The 25,763-nt window shown below is 43.6% G+C and overlaps 1 protein-coding gene across 7 annotated transcripts in view, besides 8 other annotated features; it reads right to left on the bottom strand.

The window, feature by feature from the left end:
* TGFBR3 (transforming growth factor beta receptor 3) overlaps positions 1-22,968 on the bottom strand; it is a 225,660-nt gene extending 202,692 nt beyond the window's left edge. For 3 of the 7 annotated variants that reach the window (NR_036634.2, NM_001195683.2, NM_003243.5), the window contains exon 1: positions 2,844-3,117. The gene's annotated coding sequence lies outside the window, so the exon portion shown is untranslated. Of the gene's footprint in view, positions 1-2,843; positions 3,118-16,602; positions 16,664-22,791 lie in introns of those variants that run through there. The other 4 variants (NM_001195684.1, XM_047429247.1, XM_047429256.1 and 1 more) reach the window with 2 other exon arrangements.
* Positions 1,925-2,688: an enhancer, noted in NCBI's record as "H3K27ac-H3K4me1 hESC enhancer chr1:92350516-92351279 (GRCh37/hg19 assembly coordinates)". NCBI's record gives its function as "activates a minimal SCP1, AML or CMV promoter by ChIP-STARR-seq in naive H9 embryonic stem cells {active_cell/tissue: H9 hESC(naive)}" and the evidence as "EXISTENCE:reporter gene assay evidence [ECO:0000049][PMID:30033119]".
* Positions 1,925-3,451: a biological region, named in NCBI's record as "H3K27ac-H3K4me1 hESC enhancers GRCh37_chr1:92350516-92351279 and GRCh37_chr1:92351280-92352042".
* Positions 2,594-2,803: a silencer, noted in NCBI's record as "silent region_1067". NCBI's record gives its function as "represses an Ori minimal core promoter by ATAC-STARR-seq in GM12878 lymphoblastoid cells {active_cell/tissue: GM12878}" and the evidence as "EXISTENCE:reporter gene assay evidence [ECO:0000049][PMID:35858748]".
* Positions 2,689-3,451: an enhancer, noted in NCBI's record as "H3K27ac-H3K4me1 hESC enhancer chr1:92351280-92352042 (GRCh37/hg19 assembly coordinates)". NCBI's record gives its function as "activates a minimal SCP1, AML or CMV promoter by ChIP-STARR-seq in naive H9 embryonic stem cells {active_cell/tissue: H9 hESC(naive)}" and the evidence as "EXISTENCE:reporter gene assay evidence [ECO:0000049][PMID:30033119]".
* Positions 2,814-2,893: a silencer, noted in NCBI's record as "silent region_1068". NCBI's record gives its function as "represses an Ori minimal core promoter by ATAC-STARR-seq in GM12878 lymphoblastoid cells {active_cell/tissue: GM12878}" and the evidence as "EXISTENCE:reporter gene assay evidence [ECO:0000049][PMID:35858748]".
* Positions 3,244-3,383: a silencer, noted in NCBI's record as "silent region_1069". NCBI's record gives its function as "represses an Ori minimal core promoter by ATAC-STARR-seq in GM12878 lymphoblastoid cells {active_cell/tissue: GM12878}" and the evidence as "EXISTENCE:reporter gene assay evidence [ECO:0000049][PMID:35858748]".
* Positions 11,299-11,799: an enhancer, noted in NCBI's record as "H3K4me1 hESC enhancer chr1:92359890-92360390 (GRCh37/hg19 assembly coordinates)". NCBI's record gives its function as "activates a minimal SCP1, AML or CMV promoter by ChIP-STARR-seq in naive H9 embryonic stem cells {active_cell/tissue: H9 hESC(naive)}" and the evidence as "EXISTENCE:reporter gene assay evidence [ECO:0000049][PMID:30033119]".
* Positions 23,130-23,630: an enhancer, noted in NCBI's record as "H3K27ac hESC enhancer chr1:92371721-92372221 (GRCh37/hg19 assembly coordinates)". NCBI's record gives its function as "activates a minimal SCP1, AML or CMV promoter by ChIP-STARR-seq in naive H9 embryonic stem cells {active_cell/tissue: H9 hESC(naive)}" and the evidence as "EXISTENCE:reporter gene assay evidence [ECO:0000049][PMID:30033119]".

Below are 25,763 nucleotides of genomic sequence, written 5' to 3' on the forward strand. Positions count from 1 at the left end.
AAATTCATTATATTCAGTTTTCTACAAAACACAAATGAGGATCATTACAAAAGGATTCACAACAAATTCCTCTGGATTTCCATTTCTCCCAGGTAAGTTGAAATATTATTCAAACCACACAAAATTAGTTTACATACAAACTTCACTTTTTAAAGAGATGGGGGTCTCACTATGTTACCCAGGCTGGTCTCGAACTCCTTGGCCAAGTGATCCTCCTACCTCAGCCTCCCAAAGTGTTGGAATTACAGGTGTGAGCCACTGTGCCTGGCCTACACACCACTTAAGGAAACAAATTGAAAAAAAACTATATGTGTGTTTATCTATCTGTCCAGCCACCATGGAGTTCTTGACATATATTCAACATACAGGCCCTGTCCTCAAGGTCATTCTTAATCAGTTCAAATTAAATCTAGTCCTCCATTATAAACTCCAAAAGCAACTTAGTTATTTTGCTAGATATTTTGCCCTCCCCTTTCAAACTATATGTTTAATACTCTAAAAACGGGTTTATGCGCCTTATAGATATCAACAGTGTGTTATGCTCCCCCTATTGACTAATATTCAAAATAACAATGAACTCCCCACGGGTTGCCTTTGAAGTGCTGGGATTCAAAACTATGTTGGTGATTTTTATATTTAAAAACATGAGCTGAATCAACAGTTGTTAGGCAAAGCTGCCGTGTAACGGTCAGATTCCATCAAAACAGGAAAAATTAAAGTTGACAAATGTCAAACTGAAGGGCCAAAAAAAAAAAACGCTCAAGCCTTGAAACACTAAACAATGCAGAAATAAAGCCAAAAGCAAAGAACAGCAAGAAATAGAGCAACATCCTTTAACTGACACAATGGCATGAAATCAATTTCATGTTAATAGCCCTTAAGGGGGTAAGAATTATTTCCCTGCCTCCTGTGCCAACCCCAAGCTGTTTCCTAAGGAAGCCAAGTAATGGTGATCAACAATGTCTGGAGAATTAATAAAAGAAATTAAGAATAAAGATCCATGTTGGCCAGGCGTGGTGGCTCACACCTGTAATCCCAGCACTTTGGGAGGCCGAGGCAGGTGGATCACGAGGTCAAGAAATCGAGACCATCCTGGCCAACATGGTGAAACGCCGTCTCTACTAAAAATACAAAAGTTAGCTGGGCGTGGTAGCGCGCGCCTGTAGTCCCAGCTACTCTGGAGGCTGAGTCAGGAGAAACTCTTGAACCCGGGAGGTGGAGGTTGCAGTGAGCCGAGATCGCACCACTGCACTGCAGCCTGGGGACAGAGCGAGACTCTGTCACCAAAAAAAAAAAAAAATTTCCATGTTAATTAATACAAGTCAGAGTTCTATTTATAATTATTTGGGGCCAGTTTCAGAGGAACTTTAATTGGGCACCCTCATAAGTATGTAAAATCGCCTAAATTCATCACAGATACCTTATGTGTGTTTCAAGAGATATGCGTTCAGCTCAAATAGAAAGCTGAAAGATGGGAGAAGATGCATGGACTATGCACACAAATCTATGTACACACAAATCGGCCTGCACTTGCCGCTCTCCGCTGAGGAAGGAAGGTAGCTTTGGAGTCAGAACTAACAGAAAGTTATGTATGATCTTGGACAAGTAACTTAACCTCTAGTGTCTTATCTGTAAAATAGGGTTATTAATAGTGCTTTTCCCATAGAGATGCTGTGAGGATTAAGTGCACACAGTATGGGCTTAGAAAACGTTAGCTGTTATTATTATCCAAAAGAAACAACTGAGTTCACACTGAAGTAACTGTTTGCACTCTGCATTCAGGAAGAAGAAACGGTCTTGACGTGTGTTTTTACTACCTGTGGAGACTTCTCCCAAACCGCTCACTTCTTCGGAAGGACATAAAACTCAGAATACGCCTGGTTCCCCAGCACAGCCTGTCACTCCTACTATCCTCTGCCCTCGCCGCTCCTATCCTGCCACCGCAGGGCTAGCGGCAAGCAGCGCTAACCTCCGTGCGGTGCTTACTCGGTGCCAAGCACTGTTGTAGCACCTCACACACATTAAATCATTAGATGCTCACAGCAACTTTACGGGGCAAGTACTACTATCCTCACTTCACAGCTAGGGAAATGGAACGGTTTTCTTCTTCCAGCTTTTCGTGAGGACACCAAATCCACTAAGTTCTACTTTGCCAAGGTAATTCATGCTTGACACGTCGGCTCCTGACACTATGCGATTCTGCAAAGCGGGGCAAATGCCCTAATAAGATCAAGTCTGCAAGCAGATTCTTCTAGCGACAGTCCAAGATTTCCAAGTTTGTCCTAACCAAATGAATACAAGAAGAGAGCCTTCAAAATAAACCGGGGCGGGGGGGGGCCGAGCTGCAGCTTGCGGCTCAGCCCGCAAGGCACCCTGAGGGCGCGGCCAGCGGGGAACGCAAACCGCGTCCGTGCACGAGTCCGGGAGCCACAGCCTGGGCCACGGCAATTGACTGCGAACCCACAACAAACCATTCCCACCGAAGCTGTCACGCGCCCGGAGGGAAGTGGCCGCCGCGCCCCGCAGGGGTCAGAAGGACCCGCGGAGAGGAAGAGTGAGGGCGGGCGTGGAGAATTCCTCCCCAGCACTGCGCATCGCCGGGGGCACTGCCTGCCCCGTGCGGCCGCTGCCCACGCACCGCTGGCCACCGGTGCCTGCTCCCCGGAGGGTAAACACCGCCCCACCAGCGCCTCCCTCCCAAGGCCGGAGGTCCTGGCGGCTGGAGCGACCCTGGCCGGTAAGTAGGCACTGGCAGCCCGCGCCGCGCCGACGGGCACCCGCGCAGCCTGCAGAGCCCACAGCCCGGGCGGGCTGCAGCGCCGCGGGGCTGGGCCGGCACGTACCTCGGAGGCGGTGTGTCCAGCGGAGATCCACCCGCAGCAAGTTGGAGGAAAGCGGCGGCAAGTTTCCCCGCCCAGCGCTCGGCGGCGGCGAGCTCCGGCAGCTGCTGCGCCGCGGCAAAACTACGCCATCCGGACCCGCTGGGGACTCTCACCTCCTGCAGGGAGCTCCGGGAATCGCGCAGGGAAAGTGGCCGGGGCGCGAGAGCCGCCGACTGCCCTCCTTCACTCGCTGGGAAGAGGAAAGTGCCGCTCGGCGTCCCCGAAACCCTCGATTACCCCCATCAGGCCGACCCGGCGCACTCGCCCTCCCTCGCACACACGCGGGCGGGGACGGGCAGGACGCCACAGCAATCAGCGCGCGGGGGGAAGGGCGCTCCTCCGCCGGCCCCACCGGGGGCTCTCGGCCGCCCAGAAACTCCTCCTCCCGCCTCCCGCCTCCCGCCTCCTCTCTCCTCCCCCTTTGCCTCCGCGGCTGATGGATGAGCCCCGAATGCTGCTCGAGCCTGTGCTTCCCTTCGGGACGAGGAGGCCGAGAGAGAAGGGGCTAGGGGCGCGGCCGGGCTCAGCGTGCCCGGGTTGGGGCGGCCCCTGTCCTGGGGGAAGCGCGAGGGAGACGTGGGCACGAGCTGCGGGGACTCGCTCCCTCAAACGAGGTCCTTTGAACTTTCCAGGGCTCCCTGGAAGAGTTGGATTTTCATTTGGTTCCTTGGTCTTTATATAAAAGTTCTGAAACCTCAGATAATCTGATCACAGCCTCTTGCCCTCTCCCCAGCAGAGCTCCCCCATGCACACATTCATTCTGTCCCTGTGCTTTTTCCCAACCTCCGGTCCCGCTTGTTGTCACGCTCTGATGGTGGGCGCCGGCGGAGTCTTGCCTCTTCCCCTCCAGCAGCTGAGACTGCATTACCCAGCCGTTCCCCCTGCTAGCTAAATAAATTAATACAAATAATGGAGCTAGGTCAGCATTACCGGCGTTACCCGGAGGTGGGCGCGATATGAACGACAGTCTCGGCGGGGCAACGTCCTAAGTACCTGTGCCTGTGCGACGTCCTAAGTACCTGTGCCTGTGAAGTACACGCTGCAGAAGTTGAACTGCTGGCACCAGAACACCACTCTGATACTCTTGCTTACACCCAGTTTTTCTTATTAAAAAGTATACTTAAGTAACAGGACATTGTTTTACAAACAGGCAGGTGAAATGACCGTGGACTGACAGGTTTCAAAGACCAGACTTCCAGTCCTGACTACTGTGCGACCTTCCACAAATGGCTAACGGCTAATACCCGTCAAGGCTCAGTTCAAATGAAGGGCTTGGCCTAGAAGGCTTCTTCCAGTTCTAAAGGGCTATGGACCTATGCCTTTTTTTTTTTTTTTTTTTTTTTTTTTGAGATGGAGTCTCGCCCTGTCGCCCAGGCTGGAGTGCAGTGGCACAATCTCAATCTCAGCTCGCTACAACCTCCGCTTCTCAGGCTCAAGCGATTCTCCCACCTCAGCCTCCTGAGTAGCTGGGATTACTGACAAATGCCACCACGCCCAGCTAACTTTTTGTATTTTTTGTAGAGGGGGTTGGCAGGGCGGGGGTCTCACTTAGTTGCCCAGGCTGGTCTCAAACTCCTGAGCTCAAGAGATTCGCCTGCCTTGGCCTCCCAAAGTGCTGGGATTAGAGGCGTTAGCCGCTGCACCTGGCTCAATCCTAGGCTTTTAATATGTTGGAGAGTAGAATGAGGAGGCTTCTTATGACATGTTATTTGGAAAGTTATTGAGAGAACAGGAAATATTTCTCGTCCTCTTCCTCTTGTACCTATAGGCAGAGAATCCACCCAATTGCAGAATTGGAGATTCATTCACAAAGGTCAAATGTCATCAGTCACCTGAATTACTGCAAAAATCTCCTCACTGAACCATTTTTTTCCTTACCAATATTCATTGAGCACTGACTATGGGAGAGCCCTGAGTCAGGCATTGGGAATACAAGTAGGCATAATATTCTGAAGGAATAAACAGTCCAGATGGAGCTAGCCTCTGCTTTTATAAAGTCTAAGTTTAAGGCCTTAAGATTTCTCCTAGACTCAAATTAAACAGTATTTGATATGGTTTGGCTGTGTCCCCACCCAAATCTCATCTCGAATTGTAAGTCCCACAATCCCCATGTGTCCTAGGAGGAACCCAATGGGAGGTAATTGAATCTTGGGGATGAGTTTTTCCTGTGCTGTTCTCATGATAGTGAATAAGTCTCACGAGATCTGATGGCTTTAAAAACAGGAGTCTCCGTGTACCAGCTCTCTCTGCCTGCTGCCATCCACGTGATATGTGACTTGCTCCTCCTTACCTTCTGCCATGATTGTGAGGTCTCCCCAGCCATGTGGAACTGTAAGTCCAATAAACCTTTCCTTTGTAAATTGCCCAGTCTCGGGTATGTCTTTATCAGCAGCATGAAAACAGACTAATACAGTATTTATGCCTTGTTAACAAGTTTTAGTTTCAAGTACAGATGTGAACACTTGAACTAGGTGTGAATATTTAATCCCACATTTAAATGCATCGGCCAGGTGAGGTGGCTCATGCCTATAATCTCAGCAATTTGGGAAGCCGAGGTGGGTGGATCACTTGAGGTCAGGAGTTCTAGACCAGCCTGACCAACATGGTGAAACCCCATCTCAACTAAAATACAAAAATTAGCCAGGCATGGTGGCGGGCACCTGTAATCCCAGCTACTTGGGAGGCTGAGGCAAGAGAATCGTTTGAACCCAGGAGGCAGAGGTTGCAGTGAGCTGAGATGGTGCCATTGCACTCTAGCCTGGACAAGAGCAACACTCTGTCTCAAAAAAATAAAATTAAATTAAATGTATCAATCATGTTAAGGCCTTCTAAATAAAATGGCCTGGTAGATAATTTAGGAGTGTCTTGTCTTTAAAGAGTGATGAAGTGACTGGTCCCCGTAGAGCCAGATTCACAACAGTAACCATCAACATCTGAGCCAGCGTGGGTACTGAATTCTTTTTTGTTTGTTTGTTTTTGTTTTGAGACAGAGTCTCGCTCTGCTGCCGAGGCTGGAGTGCAGTGGCGCAATCTCAGCTCACTGCAACCTCTGCCTCCTGGGCTCAAGCAATTCTCCTGCCTCAGCCTCCTGAGTAGCTGGGATTGACAAGCACGCACCACCATGCCTGGCTAATTTTTGTATTTTTAGTAGAGACGGGGTTTCATACCATGTTGGCCAGGCTGCTCTCGAACTCCTGACCTCAAGTGATCCACCCGCCTTGGCCTCCCAAACTGCTGAGATTACAGGCATGAGCCACTGCGCCTGGCCATGGGTACTAAATTCTATACATATAAACACATTTACTTCTCACAGCCCTCTAAGAATATGTATAAATGAGGCCGATATACATGCCTTTATACAAACTGAGATCTTGTCCACGATTCAATCTCACATCCACCGACCTCAAAACCTGTCCACGATTCAATCTCACATCCACCGACCTCAAAACCTAAGTCCTTAACCACCAGGTTCTTCTACCTGTCATCAGAAGCTTTATAGACTGGCAAAATAAAAGGGCTCTTTTTTTTAATTCTGAGCTATTTAGTTTCAGTAGATGATATGGAAAAACACAAGAAATTACATCAGTATTTACAAAATTAACAATGTCTACAGAGATGTTTTCTCTTTAAATCTTTACAATATGATATTAAAAGCAGAAATCCAGATACCTCAAGCATAGACGAAAGGTTTAAAATAAACTTGAATTTTTGGTTCCTGAGCAAAGCTCTATAAAAAAGGGTTCCCCTACCTCTTTTCTTTCTTTCTTTCTTTTTTGAGACGGAGTTTCCCTCTTGTTGCCCAGACTAGAGTGCAGCAGCGCGATCTCAGCTCACTGCAACCCCCACCCCCACCTCCCAGGTTCAAGTGATTCTCATGCCTCAGCCTCTCAAGTAGCTGGGATTACCAGCACCCACCACCATGCCTGGTTGATATTTGTATTTTCAGTAGAGACAGGGTTTTGCCATAACTCCTGACCTCAAGTGATCCACCCACCTTGGCCTCCCACAGTGTTGGGATTACAGGCGTGAGCTGCCGTGCCCAGTTGCCCAACCTCTTATTAATGGCAATATTAACTGATTTCTAAGGGAATGGATGCTCCCTTTCACTAATTTCTCATGGAGAACTGCATTCAAGCTACAGTATTTGTTACTGTAAGATACCAGCTTTCTTTTGGTCCAAAGTGGTTTCTTGGTCATTTGTTTGGAATTGTTTCAAACAGGATTGTAAGCAGGGGGGTGAAATTGAGGTGCATTACTTGCATTAAAAATGTTTGCCAGCAGAGTTTCAGTGATTTACTGAGGCTGTTTTTCATACAAGGAACCACCCCTCCTGTAGGTGTGGACTCACATGTTGACAGTGACTCAGATTTAGTGGCATGTCTCCAGATTCTGTTGATTAGCAGTTCACAGTCTGCTAATCAGACTTTCTTTAATCAGATAAAGTCTAAAAGACTTTATCATTAGAAAAATCATTTGGTTGTTTCTCTATAATCTTTTTTTTTTTTTTTTTTTTTTTTTTTGAGACACAGTTTCCGTCTTGTTGCCCAGGCCGGAGTGCAGTGGCGCCATCTTGGCTCACTGCAACCTCCACCTCCTGGGTTCAAGTGATTCTTCTGCCTCAGCTTCCCGAGTAGCTGGGACTAAAGGCACACGCCACCACGCCCTGCTAATTTTTGTATTTTTAGTAGAGACAAGGTTTCACCATATTGGCCAGGCTGGTCTCAAACTCCTGACCTCGTGATCCACCTGCCTCAGCCTCCCAAGGTGCTGGGATTACAGGCATGAGCTACTGTGCCCAGCTATTATCCTCATTTTACAGATTAGGAAATGATGCACAGAGAGGTTATGTAACTTGCCCAAGGTCACACAACCAGCAAGTGGCAGAGTCAGGTGGCCTGGCTACAGAATCCGTTCATGCTCTGAACCTCCACTTTGTGCTACAGGTGAAAGACACCTTCTACTCATAAAAAGAGAGTCTCATATTTCCTTTTTTTTTTTTGAAACGGAGTCTTGCACTGTCACCCAGGCTAGAGTGCAGTGGTGCAGTCTTGGTTCACTGCAACCTCTGCCTCCTGAGTTCAAGCGATTTTCCTGCCTCCACCTCCTAAGTAGCTGGGAATACAGGTGCCTACCACCACGCCTGGCTAATTTTTGTATTTTTAGTAGAGATGGGGTTTCACCATGTTGGCCAGGCTGGTCTCGAGCTCTGTGATCCAGCTGCCTCGGCCTCCCAAAGTGCTGGGATTACAGGTGTGAGTCACTGAGCCTGGTCTCTCTTTTTTTTTTTTTTAAGTTTACTTCAAAGGCTAAGTACAGTGGCTCAGGCCTGTAATCCCAGTACTTGGGAGGCCGAGGTGAATCACTTGAGCCCAGGATTTCGAGACCAGCCTAGGCAATGTGGTGAAACCCAGTCTCTACAAAAAATACAAAAATTAGCTAGGCGTGAGGGTATGTGCCTGTAGTCCCAGCTACTTGGGAGGCTGAGGTGGGAGGATCACTTGAGCCCGGTAGGTTGAGGCTGCAGTGAGCCGTGATCGTGCCACTGTACTCCAGCCTGGGCAACAGAACTGAGATCTGTCTCAAAGAAAAAAAAAAAAAACTCGATTCTTTAAAAACTTTCAAAAGATAAAAATGAAAGTTTGTTTAGAAGAACTATTACCCCACCACCACCACATAAAAATAGATTCCTTTCACTAATTTAAAGTTTGTCTAATACAGCCAACAGCTTGGAGGCAATTGCACAACTACTCTTAAGAATGTGTGACAGAACATGAACCAAATGTTCCAAAATTGTTGTGACAGGATGCTGATCTACAAACTACAGTATCTGCCCTTATTTTCTGCTCTGTTAACCTATTATCACAGACAGATTTACTACTTTATTTTTCAGATTCGCTCATAAAGACCCAGTTCATACTCGTTGGTGTTTTATTTCATCATAACCTAAGGCCATAATTTAAAGCCACATTTTCTATATCTATCTACGAGATTAGAATTTGGTTTTCGCTGATAAAATTGCAGCTGGCAAATTTCAATTAATGAGAAAAAATACAATCAGATGAACCTGTATGCAGAGCAGAGTCCAAAGCAGGCACTGGCTTCAGATCTGGGGAATTCCACAGAGATTTTGGACATAAAAATCCAAAGCAAATTTTCTCACAGTAACCGCAAGTTCCTGCAAACTCACCATTTCCTGTGACTGTGCAGAAGCCCCCAATGGAGGTTTCCACAGTACACCTTCAATTTCCCCCTCAGCAGGGATTCTGATGAAGCAGGAAACCTCACACCATTTCAAAGTGACAGTAAAACCCCCTGAGATCCCTGTGGTCTTAGCTCCTTAGGGTATGTGGCAGGACCTTGCTCTCCCAACAGCAGGGCTGGGATTCCAGAAGGAAAACTCCATCCTCAGCCCCACCTCCACAACACTCTGCAGAGAACTAGCCCCACCTCTTTTGTTTATCTGTTTTCTGTTTACTGGGTTTTGGTCTAGAGAAGAGAAAAAAAGAATCATGAATTATGTAATGTTATTTTGTGCTCAGGGGGACAAAAAAAGACAAGGGGCACCCGGAACATATATTAATGCCTGTAAATGTTTTGAATCTCAGCCCAAAATGAAAGTGTGCCAGAAACATAACTTTCTTATTTTTTAAAACTGAACTGAAGTTGCATTGTGAGTCCTTTAGTCAAATGAGGGTCTCCCTGAACCCTCTCTGTTCAGGGTTATACCTTGAACATTGAACAGAAATTAGTGAGGGCACCATCTCATCCTCGGATCATCATCTTATCTGTGCTTGATTGTTTCGTAATGAACATGTATCATTTTTACCAAGAGCCATGAGATGGTTATTCCCGAGATTTCAGAGTTTACTTGAAAGTAATACCAGTTTAGAGCTGAAAGAACTATATATGTGTATTACTATTCGTTTTGAGTTGCATCTGTGTGGTATTTCATCCAAAAAGTTCACAATACTTGCAAATATTAACCAAGGTAGCTTCAGGGAAATGCTTTATTCCTAAAGCCAACTGATCAAACATTTCCTTCCTAGTGCCTCTTGATACTCAGTTAACACACTAAAGAAAACAACCTCATTGACTTCATTTCAACAAGTAGAAGAAATGCTGAAAGTCTACTTCTAAAAATATCTAAATTTAAAAATTATTGCTGTTATTATTGGGTCTGTTATTATTACCCTTTATTGAGCACTTATTTTGTGGAAGGCCGTGTTGTAAGTTTGGGTTTATAAAATGTATTTTCTAACATATTTTGAAAATGGGCATATCCACATATTTGTCATAAAATTACCTGCTGTAACATTTCTTGAGTTTCTTTTAACATGTTGTCTAAGGAGAAAGAAGAGTTTCTTAACTTGTAACTATTTTTTTTTTTGAGACAGAGTTTTGCTCTGTCGCCAGGCTACAGTACAGTGGCGTGATCTCGGCCCACTACAACCTTCACCTCCCGGGTTCAAGCAATTCTTGTGCCTCAGCTCTCAAGTGGCTGGGATTACAGGCACGTACCACCATGCCCGGTTAATTGTTGTATTTTCTGTAGAGCAGGGTTTCACCATGTTGGCCAGGCTGGTCTTGAACTCCTGACCTCAAGTGATCTGCCCATCTCGGCCTCAAAGTGCTGGGATTACAGGTGTGAGCCACTGTGCCCAGCCCAACTTGTAACACATTCTTTAAGATTCAGGAATGAGTTAAATAGAAATTTGTTTTTATGTTGTATTTTTTATTTTAGTGACAATCTTAAAAAGCAATCTTTTATCCTGTTTTTTTTTTCCTGACAAGGATAATTAAGAACCAAAAGACTTTCTCATAATAAAAGACATTATTTGCTTATAGTCCATGTTTTTCAAAGTAGGAAATGTTTTCCCAAAGGTTTCTAAGAATGTTTCTCTTCAAAAAGCGTTCAGTCAGTTGGAGGATTTAAAATTTTATTTTTGGTTTATAATACATTGTTAACATTTGAGAAAAATAATATAAAATTTTTAATTAAAACTTCCTTAAAAAAAAAAAAAAACTTCCTTTGGCCAGGCGCGGTGGCTCACACCTGTAATCCCAGCACTTTGGGAGGCCAAAGTGGGTGGATCACTCTACAGGAGGTTGATTTTATTTCTTCTCAAGTCTTCAATACCTTCTTCTCCCTCTTTGAACTCAGCAGATGACCTTGTTTCTTATTTTACTGAGAATATCAGAGCCCTCAGAAGAAAGTATCTTTGTCTTCCCACCACATCTGCCGATTTTATCTATGCGTCTTCTCTGCTCTGCTTTCTCTCGTTACCCTGGATGAACTGGCCTTGCTTCCTCCATCTGTGCCCTGGAGTCATTCCTTCAATGACTCAATGACTTTCATCCTGTAGTAATTCCCTCTTGCAATTGCAGCCTCAGATTTCTTTCTTTCCTGGATCATTCTCATCAACTTACAAACATACTAGAATATTTCTTGTCTTTAAAAATCTTACTTGACCCCATCTATCCACCTTACCCCTATTTCTCTACTCCCTTTGCACTAACTCCTCAAAAGAGATGTCTTCCTTTGTTGCCCACACTTCTTCATCCACAGCTCCTCCTCAATCAGATCCAATCAGATCACTTGTCAAGGTCACCTTGTGGCAAGACCAGTGACTGATACTCAGTTTTCATCTTACCTAACTGCTCTTAGTTTACGCAAGAGATTACTTCATCCTCTTTGAGACACTGCATTTGGCTGCAGGGATAAGATGTACTAATGGTTTCCCTCCCATCACACTGGCTGTTCCTTCTAAGTCACCTCCGCTGGCTTTTCTTTCTGCTCCCAGGATCTAAATGTTGGCTTGTCCCAAGGCAATGTCCTTGGTCCTCTTCTCTGTTGAGACACTCTCTGTCCTTTGAGACGGAGTCTCGTTCTGTCGCCCAGGCTGGAGTGCAGTGGCACAAACTCGGCTCACTGCAACTTCCGCCTCCTGGGTTCAAGAGATTCTCCTGCCTCAGCCTCCCGAGTAGCTGGGACTACAGGTATGTACCACCACACCTGGCTAATTTTTTGTTTTTTTAGTAGAGAAGGGGTTTCACCATGTTAGCCAGGATGGTCTCGATCTCCTGACCTTGTGATCTGCCCACCTCAGCCTCCCAAAGTGCTGGGATTACAGGCATGAGCCACCGCGCCCAGCTGAGACACTCTCTCTGAAGGTGTTATCATCCAGACTCATCTAGCTTGAATCTGCGTCCTCATCCAAATCTCATGTTCAATTGTAATCCCCAATGTTGGAAGTGGAGCCTAGTGGGAGGTGATTGGATCATGAAGGCGAATTTCTCATGAATGGTTTAGTATCATACCCTTGGTATTGTCCTCAAGATAGTGAGTTCTTGCGAGATCTAATCATCTAAAAGTGTGCAGCATCTCTCCCCTCACTCTCTTGCTCCTGCTTCCACCATGTGAAACACCTGCTCCTCCTTCACCTTCTGCCAAGATTGGCAGCTTCCTGAGGCCTCCCCGAGAAGTAGATGCCAGCTTTATGCTTCCTATACAGCCTATAGAACCATGAGCCAATTAAACCTCTTTTCTTATAAATTACCCAGTATCAGGTATTTCTTTATTTTTTTAGAGAGATGGGGTCTCACTACATTGACCAGGCTAGTCTCAAACTCCTGGCCTTGAGTGAATCCTCCCATCTTGGCCTCCCAAAGTGCTGGGATTAAAGTGTGAGCCACCACACACGGCCAGTCCAGAATGGACTAATACAAGACCCATTTCTTTAAATGGATTACACATTGATGATCTCAAAATTTTATCTCTAACCTTGAACTTCAAAGTCATGTATTTGTGACTTCTCAATATCGCCACTTGATTTTTCAACTGGAAAATCAAATGTAACAATGAAAAAAACTCAACTCTTGATTCTTGCACACACATTCTGTCTATCCTCATCTCTGTAAATAGCCCTGCTGTTCACCCAGTAGCTCAGGTCAAACACATTATGGGTCATCATTGATTTATCTCTGTCTCTTTAACCCCACAACCAGTCTGCCAGTCAGTCCTGTTTACCCTCAAATGATCACTTCTCACTATTTCCATTGCTGCTACAACCCTGGTCAAAATACCATCATCTCTAACCTAAACAATGTTGATAGTTCTGGTTTCCTTGCTTCCTGTCTTGCTTCCCACCCACTAACAAACATATACACACACACTCATCCAGTACCATCTATGTACAGGTCTCATTAGTGAAGAAACCTGATCCTTCCTTAAAGCAGGCTCCCTGTGTAAGCTCCACAGTACACTATAAGCACCATGAAGGCAGGGGCCATGGCTATCTTAATCAGCACTATATTCCTAGCTCCTAGCAGAATGGCAGCATCTGACAGGTATTCAATAAACATCAAATTAAGGGATGGTTTCATTCTAGAGATGGGTACCCACAGTTAAGAGGTTGAGGCAATTAGTAATGTTTGCAACAACCATGAAGAGAGATGCACCTCTAGGGCTCAATGAGAGACTGATGCAAAGGTTCTGAGTGTTATGCAGCTCAGGACTTGGGAGTCATCAGAATACATCTGACCTGAGGGAACCGGGACCAATTTGTCCAGGCAGGGAGCAAGTATGTGGTGTAAACGGCATGAATGAATCTCCACCTGGAAGCCAAAGGTTCTGACATGAGGAAGGGGTTTCCATAGTCAGACCTGTTCACATAGAGTAAATAAATCAAACCCCCTAGGCTGGAGCAAATAAGCCTGCTGACTAAAGCTAGCTGAAAGAGAAAGAGTCAGATACAGGAGTAGAAATAATGTATAATGCTTTACTATATTGCTCTTATTTTGGTCTTATAATAGTATACTGCTAGAGTTTTTAAAAATGATGTCCATACTGCTATTATCATTGCTGGAAAACGCTGGCTATTTCCTTCTAGAGAAGGAAAAGTAAACAAGTCTTAAAGGGTCTTTGACTAACTCCCCAAGTGAGAGAAAGGAAGGAAGCCCTCATTAATGTACACATCCCCTACTTCCTACTCACTTTTTCTTTTCTTTTTTTTTTTTTAGGGAGTGAAGTGTATATATCTTTTTTAACTTTTTTTTAAATTAAAAAAGACAAAGTAAGTTTCCTAAACTAGTTCTCCAGACATTCAACTTTTTAAAAATACCTCCAGGTTCAACTCAGCTGGAATTTTGAGTGCTGCTGAGTACACTTATATACTTGCCTGGTTGTTTTTCTCTTTCCTATATGTTTTACTAACTGGCATTTCAGTTTGAGACTCTTTCAGAGGAGATTATAATGGTCTTTTCAATAGCACTCTGCAGCTCCACTGCCTTTGCAGGTATTGTACTGTCAAATGTAGCCTGCGGGGGTATCAGGCAGCATTTGGGTATTTATGTGGCAAAGGGACAGCATCGACATATTTTGGGAGATGCCGACTTGACGTGGGGAAGAGGAATATTCGTTAGAAAGGGTAATAGGTCTGAAAAGCATATTTGGTAAAAGGTTTTGTTATCTTTGGGAAATCTCATGTACAAACACAAGAAAAGTATTATGTCCCAAGGCCTTTGTGTGGCACAGTTCTGGTGACAGCATATTTTCATTGTATATATTGGTTCATTAAGCTCAAACCAACCTCATAATTACATGATTGTGACAAGATTAACTGAATGGACAATCCAAATGGCCGAAAGGTCAAATGAGGGTCCCTCTGTCTAATAATACTTTTACTCTTCTGTTATTTTTAGGCTGGCTTAGTGAGAATGTATCATGCAGGCTTGCAGAGGATTGCTTACGTTTTGTTCCAAGACTCATTTATTACTATTGTGTGGGCCGAAATGTGCACAACATACCAAATCCAGGCACAAAGTAGAAAATTAATCTTCACAGGAGAGAACAAATCTTATTTATAAGAAATCTTCAAAAGACAGAAAAATGCAAAGAATATAACAAACACTCATGAGTCAACATCCAAAACTGATCATTGTTAACATTTTGACAAATTTTTTGTCTTTCCTATAAGAAATAAAATATTACAGCCGGGCATCATGGCTCATGGCTGTAATCCCAGGACTTTGGGAGCCCGAGGCAGGAAGATTGCTTGAGCCCAGGAATTCAAGACCAGCCTGGGCAATATAGCAAGACCTCAGTCTCCATTAAAAAATGTTTTCAATTTAAAAAAAAAAAAAGAAATAAAACATTACATTAGTCACCCCTAGAAAGTACAGGAAAAAAAGAAAAAAAATTACAGATACAATTGAAGCCCCCTTGCACTCCCCTCAACCCCAGTCCAAATCAATTACTCTCCCAGTCTCTTCAGAGGTAACCACTTTCAGGAATTTAGAGTGTATCCTTCCAGTGTGTCCCTTTCTTCCGCATATGTGTGTGTCTGTGTGTGTGCATTTAAAAAGACAGAACATGAAGATGCTATTAGTATGAATGTGTCCATTTAAGAATGTTCCATTTTCCAATGCCCACCAAGGAGAAAAACAAAACAAATAAATAAAAACGTTACATAAGCAGTACATAATCTGTAACTTGCTTTTCATTCAACAGTATGTTTTTTTTGGTTTTTCTGTTTTTTTTGAGATGGAGTCTCGCTCTGTCACCGAGGCTGGAGTGCAGTGGCGCGATCTCGGCTCACTGCAAGCTCCGCCTCCCGGGTTCACGCCATTCTCCTGCCTCAGCCTCCTGAGTAGCTGGGACCACAGGCGCCCGCCACCACGCCCAGCTAATTTTTTTTTTATTTTTAGTAGAGACGGGGTTTCACCGTGTTAGCAGGATGGTCTCGATCTCCTGACCTCGTGATCCACCCGCCTTGGCCTCCCAAAGTGCTGGGATTACAGGTGTGAGCGAACACGTCTGGCTGATCATTGTTAACATTTTGACAAATTTGTTATCTTTCCTATAAGAAATAAAATATTACAGCCGGGCATCGTGGCTCATGCCTGTAATAATTACAATGATTTTAAAACCCATCTGTGTTGTGTATATGTAGATTTAGTTCATTTCTCTTAGCTGCTATATATCCCTTGCATTACTATACTATTACAATTTTTGTTTATAAGTTGCCTTAAAGGTGGGAAAGTAAAGTTGAACGTGGTTTCATGTATGTTTGTTAACCACTCAATTTTCCTCCTTGTGATACTTATTCAGTTTCTAGACAGAGCAAATCATAAATGTAAAGGGAAGAATGGAGACAGATCTATTGTACAGCTTGGTGACTATGGTTAATAATGTATTATAATTTCAAAATTGTTGAGAGTAAATTTCAAATGTTCTTACCCCCAAAATAAGAATGTGAGGTGACAAATATATTAATTAGCTTGATTTAATTATTCCACAATGTATACATCTATCAAAATGTCAGCTGGGTGCCATGGTTTATGCTATAACCCCTGCACTTTGGAAAGCTTAGGCGGAAGGATCACTTGAGCCCAGGAATTCAGCAACATAGTGAGATCCTGTCTCTACAAAAAATTTAAAAATTAGCCACGTATGGTGGCGTGCACTGGTAGTCCCACCTACTCAGGAGGCTGAGGTGGGAGGATCACTTGAGCCGAGGAGGTTGAGGCTGCAGTGATCTGTTATCACACCACTGCACTCCAGCCTGGGCAACAGAGTAAGAGAGTCACAAAAAAACCTTTCTACTAATCACATTATGCCATGTAAGCACTTAGATAGATGGCTCATTCCACTTTTCAGGCTCAAAATAAAATGCTTTTTATGCTGACATCTTGACTTAGGTGACTTTTCCCAGGTACTCACCACCAAAGATCTACACACAAGGATTCTCTGCCGTCCCTCTGATGTTGTGTCCTTGCTTTGACTACAAATAAAACAAAGAACATTAATTGAGTATAGTTGTAGCAAACTTGAGTTTTTGGCTGAAAATTAACATTTATACAAGAACTCCTGAAATACCAAGAAACTGCTTTGGCTGGGCACAGTGGGCACTTGTAGTCACAGCTACTCAGGAGGCTGAGGCAGGAGAACCACTTTAGCCAGGAGTTGAAGACTATAGTGTGCTATGATGGTACCTGTGAATAACCACTGCACTCCAGCCTGGGCAGCATAGTGAGACCTGTCTCTAAAAACAAAACAAAACAAAAAGAAACTTCTTTGACTTTTCTTGCACAGTTGACTTGAATTTTGTGCATAGATATTTGGAGTAGTTAAAAAAAAAAGATTCTGAAATATACTCCTAGATATCCCTCTCCATTCATATTAAACTTACTTATTTTACATCATTTTATTTTATTTTGAGATGGAGTCTCACTCTGTTGCCCAGGTTGGAGTGCAGTGGTGCAATCTCAGCTGACTGCAACCTCCACCTCCCAGGTTTAGAGATTCTCCCACCTCAGCCTCCCGAGTACCTGGGACTACAGGCGTGTGCCACCACACCTGGCTAATTTTTGTATTTTTAGCAGAGACAGGGTTTCACCATGTTGGCCAGGCTTGTCTCAAACTCCAGACCTCGGGTGATCTGCCTGCCTCAGCCTCCCAAAGTGCTGGGATTACAGGTGTGAATCACCACGCCCAGCCAAACTTAATTATTTAAATCTAAGTTGTTAGCTGTTAGATGAACCGTTTCTAAACTAACAAACTCACCGTTTTAACAACAGTAACACTTAAAATCACTACTAATGAAAATTCTAAATATGCAAACTGTAATTTCCTAATGAAATAGCTAGTTTTTTCTTATAAAACAAAATAGAAAAGTATCACATACAAGAAACTCCACATCTTGACCATTTCTACCTTGCAATATATATTCTTGACTCACTCTTTTCTGTTAGTGCCAAAGGCAACACTGACAGTCTTGCATAATCCACAAGGTGGTCCAACATTAATACTCTCTGGAAAATAGTTGGGATGACAGCAAAGCTGAATCATCATATCACTTTACAGTGTCTCAAAGTATCAAAGACTAAAACTGTGATTGCCCCACTCTCTGGATATTTCCCCAGTGGTGCCTATCTTGAAAAAGCAAATTCAAGAGACATGAAAAAAAGTTATTGGGTTTGGTTTTGTTTTATTTGAGATAAGGTCTTGTCATGTTGCTCAGGCTGGCCTCAAACTTCTGGGCTCGGATGATCCTTCTGCCTCAGCCTCTGGAATACCTGGGACTATAGGCATACACCACTGAATGTGGCTTCTCATATGGTAATTCTATTTTAAATTTTTTAAGAGCTCTGTATGCCATTTTCCATAGCAGCTGCACCATTTTACATTCCCACTAACACTTTACAAGGGTTCCAGTGCCTCCATGTCCTCATCCTCACCAACACTTGTTATTTTCTGTGGGTTTTGTTTGTTTTTAAAATAATCATATATACTTTTTGTTAGGTGTATTTTTATTGGGTCTTATCCTCTGAAAAATATATAACAACTCTTCATCAGTCCAAATACTTGGTTAGTTGGAACACATACAAATAATATCCAAAGAAAAAGAAGTAGCTTCTCCAGCATGGAAGAAAAGGATAGTCAGAAGTAATATCTGAAAATATGCAATGAATGGAAACTACATCCAAAGATTATAGTGAAACAAGGCAATCTCTATGCAATAGGCTGATTATTTATGTGATTAAGCTGACAAGGATTTACATCTGTTTTTATTCAGCTTTTTGTTTAAATAATAGCATTGTACATTCTCATATTACAAATGTTATTGTATACTATTATATATTATAACATGTTTAAAGACATCAAACTAACTTTTTCAACTGTTCTTGAAATTTTATGGAAATAAACATTAGAATAAACGTTGTGGGCCAGGCTCATGCCTGTAATCCCAGCACTTTGGGAGACAGAGGTGGGAGGATAGCTTGAGACCTGGGTTAAAGACCAGCCTGGACAACATAGCAAGACCTGGTGCTTAAAAAAAAAAAAAAGTTAGCCAGACATGGTAGCATATACCTCTAGTCCCAGCTACTCCAGAGGCTGAGGTGGGAGGATCACTTGAGTCCAGGAGTTTGAGGCTGCAGTGAGCTATAAACACGCCACTGCACCACTCCAGCCTGGGCAACAGAGCAACAAAGCAAGGCCCTGACCCTCCCCCACCCCACCAAAAGAAAAAAAAAAAAACGGTATGTGTTCACTGATACTCAAGGAATTTATAGATTTTCCTATCAAAATCAGTAGGCTCCATTAATTTATAATAATTTTTGTTTTAAAACTTACATAATACTAGCATGCACAGTATTTAATTGCCCCTACATCCTTATAAGTTAAATATTATTGGAAAACTGAGGTACAAACATCTGCCCAAAGACATATGTTTAATAAATGGTTAGCTGAAATTCAAAGTTAGGTGCTCTCTTTCCAAATCCCTACTTCTTTTCACTCCTCCATTAGAGAACATAGTTCTGTTTGAAGACGTGCAGTTTCTTTCCTTTTCTTTTGTGTGTGTGTGTGTGTGTGTGTGTGTGACAGGGTCTCACTCTGTCACTCAGGCTGGAGTACAGTGGCATGATCATAGCTCACTGCAGCCTCAAACTCTCGGACTCAAGCAATCCTCCCACCTTAGCCTCCGTAGCTGAGATGACAGACGCATACAAACACAAACACACCTGGCTAATTTTTTTTAATTTTTGTAGAGACAGGGTCTTGCCATTTTGCCCAGGCTGGTCTCAAACTCCTGGGCTCAAGTGATCTTCCTACCTCGGCCTCCCAAAGTGCTGGGATTATAGGCATGAGCCACCACACCCAGCCAAGTGCAGTTTATTTTTTTTTTCTTTTCTTTCTTTTTTTTTTCTCACATCTTTTTAGGTCTCTGAACACCCAGAACACATTTATTTCAAATAAGGGCTCAATTAATTACATTCCAGACTTGGTCCCTGTATAAGAAGCTAAAACAAACACAGGATGCTAATTCAGCACCCAGCACTGAAGAGTCAACATGAAAACAAGGCATTTCACACACGGATGATGGAGGTCAGGAGTAGAGTTCGCATCAGAGACTTAGTTTAGGAAAGGAGACAGCTGTGGACAGGGGCAGTGCCAGGCTCTCCAACCCCTTTTCCCTGCCTGCAATGCTGAGGATCTCATGAGATGGGCAGGGATGCCCTCCAGATCTTCTAAAACCACTGGGTTTTGTGTATTTTTTGAAAAAGGAGTGACTCCCAAGTTCTGGTAACAGTCTTCTAGCACCTCACTTAAAAAAAAAAAAAAAAAATTGAGGCCGGGCATGGTGGCTCAAGCCTGTAATCCCAGCACTTTGGCAGGCCGAGATGGTGGGGGTGGTGATCACCTGAGGTTGGGAGTTTGAGACCGGCCTGACCAACATGGCGAAACCCTGTCTCTACTAAAAATACAAAAATTAGCCAGGCGTGGTAGTGTGTGCCTGTAATCCCAGCTACTCAGGAGGCTGAGGCATGAGAATTGCTTGAACCTGGGAGGCAGAGGTTGCAGTGAGCCAAGATCACACCACTGCACTTCAGCCTGGGAGACAGAGTGAGATTCTGCCTCAAAAAAAAAAAAAAAAAAAAAAAAAAAATTGCCAGTCTGGACCTCTGTCTCATAAGAGAAAGAATTTATCATTCAGATAATGATTGTTGATGGCAAATTCTGATTATCTATAAGAATTTTGACAGGCTAGGTGTATTGGCTCACACCTATAGTCTCAGCACTGGGAAGTCAAAGTGGGAGGATTGCTTGAGCCCAGAAGTTCAAGACCAGCCCAGGCAACATACTGAGACCCCTATCTCTCTAAAAAAAAATTTAAAAATTAGCCGGGCATGGTAGTCTCTGCAGGTACTTGGGAGGCTGAGGTGAGAGGATCGTTTGAGCTTAGGAGTTCGAGGCTGCAGTCAGCCTGTCTAAAAAAAAGAGTTTTGAAATAAGATCTCCATGTCAATTAGACATTCTTATTCCTGGCTCATAGCAGGAATAAGCTACATATGTATTCAAAATATGTTGAAAAAATGATATTTGAATGAATTCTTATGAACTGCTAGCTACATATGGTTGGCAAATTTAAAGAATCAATCTAACACATCTAACATTAAAACTTAGTAAAACTGGCCAGGCATGGTGGCTCACGCCTATAATCCTAGCACTTTGGGAGGCCTAGGCGGGCAGACTGCCTGAGCTCAGGAGTTCGAGACCAGCCTGGGCAACACAGTGAAACCCTATCTCTACTAAAAATACAAAAAAAATTAGCCAGGCCTGGTGGCGCGTTCCTATAATCTGTAATCCCAGCTACTCGGGAGGCTGAGACACAAGAATCGCTTGAACCCAGGAGGCAGAGGCTGCAGTGAGCCGAGATCGTGCCACTGCACTCCAACCTGGGCAACAGAGCAACACTGTCTCAAAAAACTATAGTAAAACCCTGCTAACTCAAAAACTTACTTTGGAAACTTATAGAGAGCACAGTGGTTAAAAGCATGGGTTTGAAATTAGAAAGATCAGGGCTTGGATTTTTTTTTTTTTTTTTTTTTTAGAAATATCAACATGAGGGCTTAGATTTGGGTTCTACTACTTGTCAGTTGTCTTTCTAATTTCAAAGCCCATGCTTGAGCACATTACTAAACCTAAAATTCTTTTTTTTTTTTTCTTGCTCTGTCGCCCAGACTGGAATGCAATGGTGGGATCTCAGCTCACTGCAACCTCTGCCTCCCGGGTTCAAGCAATTCTCCTGCCTCAGCCTCCCAGGTAGCTGGGATTACAGACGCGTGCCACCACATGCAGCTGATTTTTTTTTTTTTTTTTTGAGGTGGAGTCTCACTCTTGTCACCCAGGCTAGAGTGCAGTGGTGCAATCTCGGCTCACTGCATCCTCTGCCTCCTGAGTTCAAGCAATTCTCCTGCCTCAGCCTCCTGAGTAGCTGGGATTACAGGCCCCCACTGCCATGCCTGGCTAATATTTGTACTTTTTAGTAGAGACAGGGTTTTGTCATGTTGGCCAGGCTGGTCTCGAACTCCTGACCTCAGGTGATCCGCCCACCTCGGCCTCCCAAAGTGCTGGGACTATAGGCATGAGCCACCGCGCCCGGCCTAATTTTTGTATTTTTAATAGAGATAGAGTTTCACCATGGTGGCCAGGCTGGTCTTGAACTCCTAACCTCGTGATCCGCCCGCTTTGGTCTCCCAAAATGCTGGGATTACAGGCATGAGCCACCATGCCTGGCCAGATTCTTTACCTGTAAAAAAGGAACAATCACACCTACCTTTTAGGATTTCTGGGCGAATTAAATATAAATAATGATAGGCTTAGCACACTTCTTGGCACAAAATATGTCAATATGTTGTAGCTATTATTAGTACAGAACTCAGGATCATTTCTCTTGGCATCAGTTTCTACAGAATAATCCTATTAATGTTGGAAATGTAGGTGATTAAGTTGAATCCACACTGACACTCTGACATAACCTGGAATTACATCTTTGAATAATCCTCAGGATCAGTTGGCTTATTTAACACTTTTCTCTAGGGTACAGAAAAATGCTAGTTATTTGAGCTTTCTAAATTTAGCATGCCAAACCAATAAAAATTTACCAGTTATCCAAAAGAGATTGTGATAAGTTTTCTATTACTCACAACCGTTGACCAGTTACTTTTTGTTTTTGTTTTTGTTTTTTTGAGGTAAGAGTCTCACTCTGTTGCCCAGGCTGAAGTGCAGTGGCACGACCTCGGCTCACTGCAACGTCGGCCTCCCAGGTTCAAGCGATTCTCGTGCCTCAGCCTCCCAAGTGGCTGGGATTACAGGCGCCCACCAGCACGCAAAGCTAATTTTTTGTATTTTTAGTAGAGACGGGGTTTCGCTGATCCACCCGCCTCGGCCTCCCAAAGTGCTGGGATTACAGGCGCGAGCCACCGCGCCTGGCCAACCAGTTACTTTTGCTTGCACCAAGTTGATCATTCTTACCCCTAGATGAAAAGCAGTATCAAAGCACTTTTGGTTGCAAATGATGGAAATTCAATTAATATTAGCTTAAGCAAAAAAGAAGGTACTGACCTCAATGTTGCCAGAGCTCTGCTTCCTTGTGTGTGCTGGCATCCATCTGCAGATAGCTTCTTCCTGCACAGCCTGATGTTAAGACCATGCGCAGCTTCAGGCTCATGCGGTTCTTTCAGTTTGAAGGCCCAAGGAAAAAAAGCTCCTTTCTTTCTTAGTAGCTACAAATCTTAAAGAAATAAATTTTAAAGATAATTCTGGACGGGCGCGGTGGCTCACGCCTGTAATCTCAACACTTTGGGAGCCCGAGGCGGGTGGATCACGAGGTTAGGAGATCGAGACTGTTCTGGCCAACATGGTGAAACCCCGTCTCTACTAAAAAATAAAATAAAATAAAATAAATAAATACAAAAATTGGCCGGGTGTAGTGGCGTGCGCCTGTAGTCCCAGCTACTCAGGAGGCTGAGGCAGGAGAATCCCTTGAACCCGGGAAGCGGAGGTTGCGATCGCGCCACTGCACTCCAGCCCGGGCGACAGGGTGAGACTCCGTCTCAAAAAAACAAGATTCTTAGTTCAGAGTAGGTGGGGCACTGTGCTCATCTCGCGAGAACCACATGGCCAGGGGAGGGGCGATTCCCCAAAAGGAAATCAAGATCTGATTCCAGACAAAAAGGAATGGTAGGGGGGTTCAAAGAATGGTAGGGAGGTTCATCCCTGTGAGGCTGGTGGGGCGGGGTGTCTAGGAGGGTGTCCCTGAGGTTTCTGGGGGGTCGCGGACACTTCTTGGGGGATGCCCAAGAGGCAGGGCTCAGTAAAGTCTAATTTCAGAGCTTTATTTGCACTATCCCTAAGTTTCCGCAGAGTAATAATTGAATTAACCAGTTTTCTGTTTTCTTCTGTCCTTCATTTGTTTTAGGGGAGGGTTCGAAGAGATGTGCCTGTACCTGCAATTGGCGTCCTCTCTTCTTTAGCTGTTATTAGCTCTGAGCAGTCCCTTTTGTATAGGGAATTGTGTTAATTTTTTTGTGCACCCAGAGCTATGTACCTTTTGAAAGATACATGGGAGGCACTACTGAAAGTACTTTTTTTTTTTGGCGTAAAATGGATAAATTTGGATATCATAAAGGCTGTATAAGTGTGTTCATGTGTTCTAGAGCCTTTCCTATTTCTCTAATGGGGAAGATTATCAAATAATGAGGAATATAAACGTAAGTGTGCATGGCTGTCAATGAAACAGGGAAAGCAAAGGGAGCATGTATATTTACCCAGGAATACAGTACCTTTCTCTTTCTCTTTCACTTTTTTATCTCATTCTTTACTGTTTAAAAAATATATTATTCCAGTTAGAACGAATAATATCTAGTATCTAATAGCACAACAGTATGACTAAAGTCAATAATAATTTCATTGTACATTTTTTTAAAAAACAGAGTATAATTGGATTGTTTGTAACACAAAGGATAAATGCTTGAGGCGATGGATACCACATTTACCATGATGTGATAATTACACACTACATGCCTGTATCAAAATATCTCATGTATGCCATAAATATATATACCTACTATGTACCCACAAACAATAAAAATTTTTAAAAAATTTTTTAAGAGGTATGGTAGAGTGTGCAGAAAAAACAATAGATGCCCGGCTGGGCACAGTGGTTCACACCTGTAATCCCAGCACTTTAGGAAGCTGAGGTGGGCAGATCACCTGAGGACGGGAGTTTGAGACCAGTCTGACCAACATGGTGAAACCCCGTCTCTACTAAAAATACAAAATTAGCCGGGTATGATGGCACATGCCTGTAGTCCCAGCTACTCAGGAGGCTGAGGCTGGAGAATCGCTTGAACCCAGGAGGTGGAGGTTGCAGTGAGCCTAGATCACGCCATTGCACTCCAGCCTGGGTGACAGAGTGAGACTCCGTCTCAAAAAAAAAAAAAAAAATAGATGCCCACAGCAGATAGTTTGGGTTGGATTACCCAAAAACAAAGACTTCAGCATGGCCATCTTGACTCTATTAAAATATACATTTGTGCCAGGTGCGGTGGCTCACCTGTAATCCCAGCACTTTGGGAGGCCGAGACGGGTGGATCACCTGAGGTCAGGAGTTTGAGACCAGCCTAACCAACATGGAGAAACCCCCATCTCTACTAAAAATACAAAATTAGTTGGGTGTGGCGGCACCTGCCTGTAATCCCAGCTACTCAGGAGTCTGAGGCAGGAGAATCGCTTGAACCTGGGAGGTGGAGGTTGCAGTGAGCCAAGATCGCACAATTGCACTCCAGCCTGGGCAATAAGAGTGAAACTACCTCTCCAAAAAAAAAAGTATTTATTTCATGAAACCACATACAAATGTTTCAAAGGGGCATTGGGGTGGGCCATTCTTGACTCATGAGTATTCTCTATGCTAACTAAGCTCCACATATGGTAAACATCTGCCAAAAAAAAAAAGTTATCCTCATATGTTCTGCATCCTAAGCAATAAAGTGTGTGCATAATTACATGAAAAAAAGGGAAAATTATCTTTCCATATTGAAAAAGCAAATCAGACCACTAATAAATAATAATCATATACAAGTACATGAAAAAGTAACAAAGGAAAAATGTTTCTTCATATTAAAAAAGCAAATCAGGAAATTAATAAATAGTGGTCTAAGAGTTCTTCATAAAATTTTGCCAATTTTGGCCCAGCGTGGTGGCTCATGCCTATAATCCCAGTACTTTGGGAGGCAGAAGCAGGCATATCACTTGAGGTCAGGAGTTCGAGACCAACGTGGCCAATATGGTGAAACTTCGTCTCTACTAAAAATACCAAAACTAGCTGGGCATGGTGGCAGATGCCTATAATCCCAGCTACTTGGGAGGGTGAGGCAGGAGAATCACTTGAACCCAGAAGGCAGAGGTTGCAGTGAGCTGAGATTGAGCCCCTGCACTCCAGCCTGGGTGACAGAGCGAGACCCTATCTCAAAAAATAAATAAATAAATATAAAAATTTGCCAACTTCAAAATAAAAACAAAAGAGTTAACATAGA

Source organism: Homo sapiens, chromosome 1 (genome assembly GCF_000001405.40).
Source record: "Homo sapiens chromosome 1, GRCh38.p14 Primary Assembly".
Lineage (NCBI taxonomy): Eukaryota > Metazoa > Chordata > Mammalia > Primates > Hominidae > Homo > Homo sapiens.